General features: G+C 40.0%; 1 pseudogene; it reads left to right on the plus strand.

Annotated features, from left to right (window-relative positions):
• Positions 1–1876: 1876 nt before the first annotated feature.
• On the plus strand, positions 1877–4408 carry LOC652608 (60S ribosomal protein L6-like; annotated as a pseudogene).
• Positions 4409–11785: the final 7377 nt, after the last annotated feature.

Consider the following 11785-nt stretch of genomic DNA (forward strand, 5'->3'; position numbering starts at 1 on the left):
GACTGGGGGCTGCACGCGTCAGCCAACAGCACAAAAAGTTCTACAATGTTTTTTTCATACAGTGTCTGGAATTTACAGATAACACAAGTAGTTTAGGTCAGGGGTTGATGTTATTATTTTTACTTTTTTTAACTCCTAGGGCTGGGCGGTGGTGCCAAGGGTGTCTGGCTACTTATCTTACTGAGGTGTAGGGAAAAGAAAGACAAATCAGACTGTGACCGTGTCTATGGAGAAAGGAGAGACATAAGAGAGTCCATTTAGAAAAAGACCTGTACTTTCAACTATTGCTTTGCTGAGATGTTGTTAATGTGTAGGTTTGCCCCAGCCACTTTGACCCAACCTGGAGCTCACAAAAACATGTGTTGTAGGAAATCAAGGTTTATGAAATCGAGGTTATGAAATCAAGGGCTGTGCAGGACGTGCCTTGTTAACAAAATGTTCACGAGCGGTATACTTGGTAAAACTCATCGCCATTCTCTAGTCTCAATAAACCAGAGGCACGATGCACTGCGGAAAGCCGCAGGGACCTCTGCCCTTGAAAGCCGGGTATTGTCCAATTGTCCAAGCGGGGTATTGTTTCTCCCCATGTGATAGTCTGAAATATGGCCTCGTGGGATGAGAAAGACCCGACCGTCCCCCAGCCCGACACCCGTAAAGGGTCTGTGCTGAGGTGGATTGGTAAAAGAGGAAAGCCTCTTGCAGTTGAGATAGAGGAAAGCCACTGTCTCCTGCCTGCCCCTGGGAACTGAACGTCTCGGTATAAAACCCGATTGTACATTTGTTCAATTCTGAGATCGGAGAAAAACCACCCTATGGTGGGAGGTGAGACATGTTTGCAGTAATGCTGCTTTGTTATTCTTTACTCCACTGAGATATTTGGGTGGAGAGAAACATAAATCTGGCCTATGTGCACGTCCAGTCATAGTACCTTCCCTTGAACCTAATTACGACATAGATTCTTTTGCTCACATGTTTGTTGCTGACCTTCTCCTTATTATCACCCAGCTCTCCTACTACATTCCTTTTTGCTGAAATAATGAAAATAATAATCAATAAAAAGTGAGGGAACTCAGAGGCCGGTGCCGGTGCAGGTCCTTGGTATGCTGAGCGCTGGTCCCCTGGGCCCACTGTTGTTTCTCTATACTTTGTCTCTGTGTTTTATTTCTCTTTCTCAGTCTCTCGTCCCACCCGACTGGAAATACCCACAGGTGTGGAGGGGCAGGCCACCCCTTCACTGAGGGAAGAGAGAGACCCTCTCATATTGTTTTATGTTGTTTTATACTCATTACCTGTTTTAAGAAAACAGCAAGGAAGTGAGATCAAAGACAGGCAGCCCGGCGCCAGGCCCGAAACCAGGCCTGGGGCTGCCGGCCCTAAACCCAGTAGTTAAAACTCAACTCATAACTTAGAAACCGATGTTATTCATAGATTCCAGACGTCGTATAGAAGAACACTGCGAAACTCCCTGCCCCGTTCTGTTTCTCTCTGACCACAGGTGCACGCAGCCCCTGTCACGTACCCCTTGCCCGCTCAAATCAATCACGACCCTTTCATGTAAAATCTTTAGTGTTGTGAGCCCTTAAAAGGGACAGAAATTGTGCATTTGGAGAGCTGGGATTTTAAGGCAGTAGCTTCCCGATGCTCCCAGCTGAATAAAGCCCTTCCTTCTACAGCTTGGTGTCTGAGAGGTTTTGTCTGAGGCTCGTCCTGCTACATTACTTTTGTGGGTTTTTTTTTTGTTTTTTTTTCCAACTTCTTGCTTTTTCTCTCCTCCTGTCTTGTGAACTAGGCAAGGTGAGGGGACGATGGCAGCAGGAGGAGTACTGGTCTCCTTCCTTAAGAATATCCCTGGAAACTCTCTTTCCCATCTTGCACGATGGCAGGTGAAAAAGTTGAGAAGGCAGATACTAAAGAGAAGAAACCTGAAGCCAAGAAGGCTGATGCTGGTGGCGAGGTGAAAAACCGTCACCTCAAGGCTAAAAGGCCCAAGAAGAGGAAGCCCCATTGCAGCCACAACCGTGTCCTTGTCAGAGGAATTGGCAGGCAATCCCTATATCTCCCGTGTATTCCGGGAAGGCCGTGTACAAGAGGAAGTACTCAGCCACTAAATCCAACGTTGAAAAGAAAAAGAAGGAGAAGGTTCTTGCGACCGTTACACAACCAGTTGGCGGTGACAAGGACGGAGGTACCCGCGTGGTTAAACTTCGCAAAATGCCTAGGTATTATCCTGAAATGCCTACCCTTGTTTTTACTTTAACTTGTTACTTTGAATATTGTTCTGCTTGTCTCTTTAATCACCTAGACCTGCTTCTCATGTAAATGAGACTCTCTCTAGGTGGGAAAGCCGGACAAACTCCAATTGACCACTTAATTTTCAAGACTCTAAGGGCTCCTCACCCAACCCCCTTTCCTAAGGAGTTGGCCTGGGTAAACAGATCCTCAGCATTTCAAACGAGCCCAATTAACTAATAAGGTACTGGCACCCACAATGTATGAAGTTCCCCAGGAATTTTCCTCCAAGAGATAACAACATAAAACCTTCAGTTTGTGTCCTGCATAGACCGTATATCTAATTATAATGAAAGATTTAGAACCTTGCACCTGCTACCGTTGCTCTTCTTGTCACCATTTGTCTTTTAAGTTGTTTATCACTCTGTAACCCTTTTGATTTTTTTCATTCTTGCATGTTTTTACTTCTCTAGAATTATTACATTTGAGTCCCCCTCCCCTTCCTAAACCTAGGTATAAAAGTTAATCGAGCCCCTTCCGCGTGGCCGAGAGAATTTTGAGCGTTAGCCGTCTCTTTGGCCGCCGGCTTAATAAAGGACTCTTAATTCGTCTCAAAGTGTGGCGTTCTCACTAACTCGCCTGGGTACGACAATCCTACTGAAGATGTACCAGTTAGCACGTGAGAAAACGGCGAGCCAGCATTATGCCCGGGACCATTCGGATCCTCCTCACTGGAGGCCACATGGGCAAGAGTGATGGTTTTCCTGAAGCAGCTGGCTAGTGGCTTGTTACTTGTGACTGGACCTCTGGTCCTCAATCGAGTCCCTCCACGAAGAACGCACCAGAAATTTGTCATTGCCACCTCAACCAAAATCGGTATCAGCAACGTAAAAATCTCAAAACATCTTAGTGATGCTGACTTGAAGAAGAAGAAGCTGTGGAAGCCCAGACACCAGGAGAGTGATGGTTTTCCTGAAGCAGCTGGCTAGTGGCTTGTTACTTGTGACTGGACCTCTGGTCCTCAATCGAGTCCCTCCACGAAGAACGCACCAGAAATTTGTCATTGCCACCTCAACCAAAATCGGTATCAGCAATGTAAAAATCTCAAAACATCTTAGTGATGCTTACTTGAAGAAGAAGAAGCTGTGGAAGCCCAGACACCAGGAGAGTGATGGTTTTCCTGAAGCAGCTGGCTAGTGGCTTGTTACTCGTAACTGGACCTCTGGTCCTCAATCGAGTCCCTCCACGAAGAACGCACCAGAAATTTGTCATTGCCACCTCAACCAAAATCGGTATCAGCAATGTAAAAATCTCAAAACATCTTAGTGATGCTGACTTGAAGAAGAAGAAGCTGTGGAAGCCCAGACACCAGGAGAGTGATGGTTTTCCTGAAGCAGCTGGCTAGTGGCTTGTTACTCGTAACTGGACCTCTGGTCCTCAATCGAGTCCCTCCACGAAGAACGCACCAGAAATTTGTCATTGCCACCTCAACCAAAATCGGTATCAGCAATGTAAAAATCTCAAAACATCTTAGTGATGCTGACTTGAAGAAGAAGAAGCTGTGGAAGCCCAGACACCAGGAGAGTGATGGTTTTCCTGAAGCAGCTGGCTAGTGGCTTGTTACTCGTAACTGGACCTCTGGTCCTCAATCGAGTCCCTCCACGAAGAACGCACCAGAAATTTGTCATTGCCACCTCAACCAAAATCGGTATCAGCAATGTAAAAATCTCAAAACATCTTAGTGATGCTGACTTGAAGAAGAAGAAGCTGTGGAAGCCCAGACACCAGGAGAGTGATGGTTTTCCTGAAGCAGCTGGCTAGTGGCTTGTTACTCGTGACTGGACCTCTGGTCCTCAATCGAGTCCCTCCACGAAGAACGCACCAGAAATTTGTCATTGCCACCTCAACCAAAATCGGTATCAGCAATGTAAAAATCCCAAAACATCTTACTGATGCTTACTTCAAGAAGCAGCAGCTGCAGAAGCCCAGACACCAGGAAGGTGCCATCGTCGACACAGAAAAAGAGAAATATGAGATTATGTAGCAGCGTGAGATTGATTAGAAAGCTGTGGACGCACAGATTTCACCAAAAATCAAAGCTATTCCTCAGCTCCAGGGCTACCTAGGATCTGTGTTTGTCCTGACGAATGGAATCTATCCTCACAAATTGGTGTTCTAAATGTCTTAAGAACCTCATTAAATAGCTGACTACAAAAAAAAAAGGAATATACCTGGAACAAGCAGCAGGTTCCGTAGCGGGAACTTCCTTGGAATCAAAGCACCTTAATCGGGAAGAGGTTTCCTCATCTCTCCTTCTTCTCACCTGCTTTCCTTTGCCCTGCAAAGGCTGCAGAACACACCGCCTCAAAACATGGGGCTTTGTCACAAAGATTTCTGAAACGAAAGCCAGTGAGAAGAAGGACAGATGAGAAAACCTCTTCCCAATTAAGCCACTTCCTCATCACACCTTGTCTTACCAGGGACCAGGGACTCATGTGCCTGGTTTTATGAAATGAGACCACCACTTCTCCTGTTGTCCTTCCCAGCTTCTCCCCCACTTCCCCTTCTCCCTAGTTTGTAAGACAGGACAAAACGGAGAAAGCAAAAAGTTGGAAACAAACAGAAGTAAGATAAATAGCCAGATGACTTTTTTTATTTATAATATTTTATTACAATATTTTATTGTTATATGATAATATCTATATTACCTATAATATGTAAATATAAATATTATAGATATTATAATATATTATATTATAATAAATATAATATAATAATATATAAAATAATATAATATATAAAATAATGTAATATATTATATTATTATAATATATTATAATATAATGATATATTATATTATTATAATATTATATTATAATATAATGATATATTATATTATTATAATATTATATTATAATATAATGATATATTATATTATTATAATATTATATTATAATATACTGATATATTATATTATAATATAATATTATAATATTATAATATTATAATATAATATTATAATATTATAATATTATTAATAATATAATATCATAATATTATTAATAATATATTATAATGTAATATCATTATAATATATATTATAATCATATTATTATAATATATATTATAATATATTATTATATATTATTATAATAGATATCGTAATATATATTATAATATATCATAATCTATATTATAATATATTATAATAATATTATAATAATATATTGTAATAATATATACTATAATATATTATAATAATATTATAATAATATATTATAATATTATTATAATATAATATCTATATTTTATTATTAAAATAATAAAATATAATAAAATAATAATAAAATATTATAAGAAAATAATAAAATATTATAAGAAAATAACAATAAAATATTATAAAATAATAATAATATATTATTATTATAAAATAATAATAATATATTATTATTATAAAATAATATAATATTAACCCCTGACCAAAACTACTGGTGCTATCTGTAAATTGCAGACATCGTATGAGAAAGCACTGTGAAACTTTCTGTTCTGTTAGCTGATGTATGTAGCCCCCAGTCACGTTCCTCACGCTTACTTGATCTATCATGACCGTTTCACATGGACCCCTTAGAGTTGTAAGCCCTTAAAAGTGCTAGGAATTTCTATTTCGGGGAGCTCGGCTCTTACCACACGAGTCTGCCGACGCTCCCGGCCGAATAAAAAACCTGTTCCTTCTTTAATCCGGTGTCTGAGGAGTTTTGTCTGCGACTGGTCTTCCTACAGTTTCAGGGACTCCTGTGCCTGGTTTTGTGACAGAAAAGGAGGGGTCCCGGTCCAGACCCCAAGAGAGGTTCCTGGATCTCGTGCAAGAAAGAATTCAAGGCCAGTCAAGACAGTGCAAAGCAAAAGCACGTTTATTAACAGAGGACAGGCCGGGGCGCGGTGGCTCACGCCTGTCATCCCAGCACTCTGGGAGGCCGAGGCAGGTGGATCACCCGAGGTCAGGAGTTTGAGACCAGCCTGACCAACACGATGAAACCCCGTCTCTACTAAAAATACAAAATTAGCCAGGCGTGGTGGTGCACGCCGGTAATCCCAGCTACTGGGGAGGTTGAGGCAGGAGAATGGCTTGAACCCGGGAGGCAGAGGTTGCAGGGAGCCAAGATCGCGCCATTGCACTCCAGCCTGGCTGACAGAGTAAGTCACCATCTCAAAATAAATAATAATAATAATCGGCTGGGTGCAGTGGCTCACACCTGTCATCCCAGCACTCTGGGAGGCCGAGGTGGGCAGATCACCTGAGGTCAGGAGTTCGACACCAGCCTGGAAAACATGGTAAAACCCCGTCTCTACTAAAAATACAAAAATTAGCCGGGTGGCGTGGCAGGCTGTAATCCCAGCTACTCAGGAGGCCGAGGCAGGAGAATCACTGGAACCCGGGAGGCAGAGGTTGCAGTGAGCCAAGATTGTGCCACTGCACTCCAGCCTGGGTGACAGAGCGAGACTCTGTCTCAAAAAAAAATTATTATTATTATATTATTATATATATTATTATATATTATTATAATTATATTATATTATTATATATTCTATATAATATAATATATAATAATATTATATATTATTCTATATAATCTATATAATAATATATTATTCTATATAATCTATATGATAATATATTATTCTATAATATATTATAATTATATTATTATATTTTATTATAGGTTATATATATTATAATTATATTATATTATTATAATATGTATTATTATATATTATGTATCATAATTATATTATATTATTATAATATGTATTATTATATATTATATATTATAATTATATTACATTATTATTATATATAATATGTTACATATTATAATTATATTATATTTATATTATATATTATATATTATAATTATATTATATTATTATAATCATATATTACATATTATAATTATATTATATTATTGTACAGAATTATATAGTATAATTATATTATATTATTGCATATAATTATATAGTATAATTATATTATATTATTGCATATAATTATATAGTATAATTATATCATATTATTGCATATAATTATATAGTATAATTATATTATATTATTGTATATAATTATATAGTATAATTATATCATATTATTGTATATAATTATATATTGTATATTATAATTATATTATATTATTGTATATAATATAATTATATTATATTATTGTATAAAATATAATTATATTATATTATTGTATAAAATATAATTATATTATATTATTGTATATGATATAATTATATTATATTATTGTATATAATTATAATTATATTATATTATTGTATATAATTATAATTATATTATATTATATATACTATATATTATATAATTATATTATATTATTAATATATAATTATATATTATAATTATATTATATTATTAATATATAATTATATATTATAATTATATTATATTATTAATATATAATTATATATTATAATTATATTATATTATTAATATATAATTATATATTATAATTATATTATATTATTATATATAATTATATATTATAATTATATTATATTATTTTATATAATTATATTATATTATTATATATAATTATATATTATTATACTATTTTAAAATATTATTTATTATTATTATTATATCACAGAAAAATAGCTGAAGGCCACCGAGGCAGCTCATCCGTCAACACCCTCCACGTTTTATGTTTGAGGAAATCCAGAGACGTGTGTAATTGCCGCAGAATTCCTAAGACGTGTGTGAGCATGAAATGACATATGCACTAATACCTTTGCTGTAGGAAAAACACAATCTTCCTAGCCACGTTTACGACCCTTTCCCTCCAAGGGCTTTCGGATGCAAACGCATACACGCTAACGATGCAGAAATTAAAAGGTTCTCAACGTCCCCTGTGCAACTAAGGGGTTTTTTTGTTTTTTTCTTTTTGAAGCTGGTGTTTCCAGCATTACAGGTCGCGACCACCCAGTTGCAAAAGCCAGGCACGGAGCCAGGGCAAGGAGGAGGCGTAACTTTCTTTCTGCAAAGCGTGCGTGACTTCAGCAGCCCAGGCAAGATCCACAGAGGGTCCAGAAATAAGGCTCGGCCAAGAAGAAAATAGAAAATTGCTTGCTCGCTTGTAAAATTTAACTGTTCTTTGCAATGGCAGGAGCCACGATTTTTTTTTTAATAACATGAATGCGTGAGTATGTGTGTCTAAGTGGACTTTGCCTCTAAGAACTTGGTAAAAAGCGATTTTAACTTCAGCCTTGGAGGGAATCTCTCAACCCACAGAGCTCAGCACGTCTTAAATTCATGGAGTTTTTGGCAAGCGCATGGGGGCACCGTCTCTAGCCTCCAAATACTCATTTTATGCGATTTTTTTTTTCATCTTAAATTCATGGAGTTTTTGGCAAGCGCATGGGGGCACCGTCTCTAGCCTCCAAATACTCATTTTATGCGATTTTTTTTTTCATCTTAAATTCATGGAGTTTTTGGCAAGCGCATGGGGGCACCGTCTCTAGCCCCTAAATACTCATTTTATGAGATTTTTTTTTTCAGTTGAAGAAAATGTCAAAAGGTTGTCACAGCTGTGTGGAGGAAAAGTTAAACATTAAATTTGAACTCAATTGAAGATGGACACAAGCAATGGTCACCAAGTCCCAAAACAGGGTTGAGGCCTTCATCCAGCGGTGTTTCGTAGAAATCTCTATTTCAGTCTATTCTTTTCTTTTTTCTTTTTTTGAGATGGAGTCTCACTCTGTTGCCCAGGCTGGAGTGCAGTGGTGCACTCTCAGCTCACTGCACCCTCCACCTCCCAGGTTCAAGCCATTCTCCTGCCTCAGCCTCCCGAGTAGCTGGGACTACAAGCGCCCACCACCACGCCCGGCTAATTTTTGTATTTTTAGTAGAGACGGGGTTTCACCATGTTGGCCAGGAGGGTCTCGATCTCCTGACCTCGTGATCCGCCCGCCTCGGCCTCCCAAAGTGCTGGGATGACAGGCGTGAGCCACCGTGCCCGGCCACACCTGGATAATTTTGTATTTTTAGTAGACACGAGGTTTCCACATGTTGGTCAGGCTGGTCTCGAACTCCTGACCTCAGGTGATCCGCCCACCTCGGCCTCCCAACGTGCTGGGATGACAGGGGTGAGCCACCGTGCCCGGCCTCCATACTGTTTTTTCTAGAGCTTGTACTAATTTACGTTCCCCCCAGGAATATATAAAGCATTCTCTTTTCACCACACTCATGCCAATATTTTTTTTTAACTTTTTAATAATGGTCATTCTGCCTGGGGCAAGATGATGTCTCAGTGTGATTTTAATCTGCATTTCCCTGATGCAAATTTCATCTCCATTTAAACAACAAAGAAAACAGTGGCCAGGCCGAGGTAGGTGGATCACCTGAGGTCACGAGTTGGAGACCAGCCCGGGCAACATGGTGAAACCCCGTCTCTACTAAAAATACAAAAATTAGCCAGGTGTGGTGGTGCATGCCTGTAATCCCAGCTACTCAGGAGAGTGAGGCAGGAGCATCGCTTGAACCTGGGAGGCAGAGGTTGCAGTGAGCCGAGATTGAGCCACTGCACTCCAGCCTGGCGACAGAGTGAGACTCTGTCTCAAGAAAAAAAATAAAATATGCCAGGCCCAGCGGCTCACACCTGTAATCCCAGCACTTTGGGAGGTCAAGCCAGGTGGATCACCAGAGGTCAGGAGTTTGAGATCAGCCTGTCCAACATGGTGAAACCCCGTCTCTTCTAAAAATACAAAAACTAGCTGGGCGTGGTGGCGGTTGCCTGTAATCTCAGCTACTCAGGAGGCTGAGGTAGGAAAATCGCTTGAACCCAGGAGGCAGAGGTTGCAGTGAGCTGAAATCAAGCCACTGTACTCCAGCCTGGGCAGCAAAGCCAGACTCTGTCTCAAGAAAACAAAAAAAAAAAAAAACAAAAAAAGGCCGGGCGCGGTGGCTCACACCTGTAATCCCAGCACTTTGGGAGGCCAAGGTGGGTGGATCGCGAGGTCAGGAGTTCGAGACCATCCTGGCCAACATGGCGAAACCCCATCTCTACTAACAATACAAAATTATCCAGGTGTGGCCCGGCAGGGTGGCTCACGCCTGTCATCCCAGCACTTTGGGAGGCCGAGGCGGGCGGATCACGAGGTCAGGAGATCGAGACCATCCTGGCTCACACGGTGAAACCCCGTCTCTACTAAAATTACAAAAATAAGTCAGACGTGGTGGCGGTTGCCTGTAATCTCAGCTCCTCAGGAGGCTGAGGCAGGACAATTGCTTGAACCCGGGAGGCAGAGGTTGCAGTGAGCTGAAATCGTCATGTGCTGCTTCCTATCTTCTTTTTTGAGAATCAGCACATGTCCAACTGCTCAGAAGCCTCAGGAAACAGTGTGGCTTCCCTCTTTGCTGGCTGCAGCACACGGTCTCGAAACAGGGGGCCGGGGAGGGCTCAGAGAACAAGGGTCAAAGCTTTCTTAGGAAATGTCAGGCTGCTGGTTTCATTTAACTTGGTTTTTTGTTTGTTTATTCTTGTTGTTGTTTTGAGACGGAGTCTTGCTCTGTGGCCCAGGCTGGAGTGTGCAGCGGTGCGATCTCGGCTCACTGCAACCTCCACCTCCCTGGTTCAAGCGATTCTCCTGCCTCAGCCTCCCGAGTAGCTGGGATGACAGGTGCCACCATCACACCCGGCTAATTTTTGTACTTTTGGTAGAGACGGGGGTTTCACCGTGTTGGTCAGGCTGGTCTCGAACTCCTGACCTCAGATGATCCACCCACCTCGGCCTCCCAAAGTGCTGGAATTACAGGCGTGAGCCACCGCACCCGGCCCATTTAACTTGTTACTTCATGCTTCCAGGATTCTGCCTTTGTAACCTTCCGCAGGGCACCTGTTTCATGTCAAATTCCTGAGTTAGAGATATTTAAGTATAACAATAGTCACAGGCTGGGCATGATGGCTCACGCCTATAATCCCAGCACTTTGGGAGGCCGAGGCAGGCAGATCATCTGAGGTCAGGAATTTGAGACCAGCCTGGCCAACATGGCGAAACCCCGTTTCTACTAAAAATACATAAATCAGCCTGGCGTAGTGGCCGGTGCCTGTAATCCTAGCTACTGTGGAGGCTGAGGCAGGAGAATGGCTTGAACCTGAGAGACGGAGGTTACAGTGAGCTGAGATTGCGCCACTGCACTCCAGCCTGGGCAACAGAGCACGACTGTCAATAAAATAAAATAAGATAAAAATAAAATAAAATAAAATAAAATAAAATAAAATAAAATAAAATAAAATAAAATAAAATAAATAATAAAATAAAATAAAATAAAAATAAAATAAAATAAAATAAGATAGAATAAAATAAAATAAAATAAATAAAATAAAATAAAATAAAATAAAATATAATGAAATGAAATAAAATAAAATAAAATAAATAAAATAGTCACAGAAGCATCCCACCCTGGGACGCCATCCCCAACCGAGGCCACGGCTCCTACAAGACTCAGCTTCAAGCCTCCACCTCTCCCTGTTGTCATTGACAA

The sequence above is a fragment of the Homo sapiens genome, chromosome Y (genome assembly GCF_000001405.40).
Source record: "Homo sapiens chromosome Y, GRCh38.p14 Primary Assembly".
In the NCBI taxonomy this organism is placed as follows: domain Eukaryota; kingdom Metazoa; phylum Chordata; class Mammalia; order Primates; family Hominidae; genus Homo; species Homo sapiens.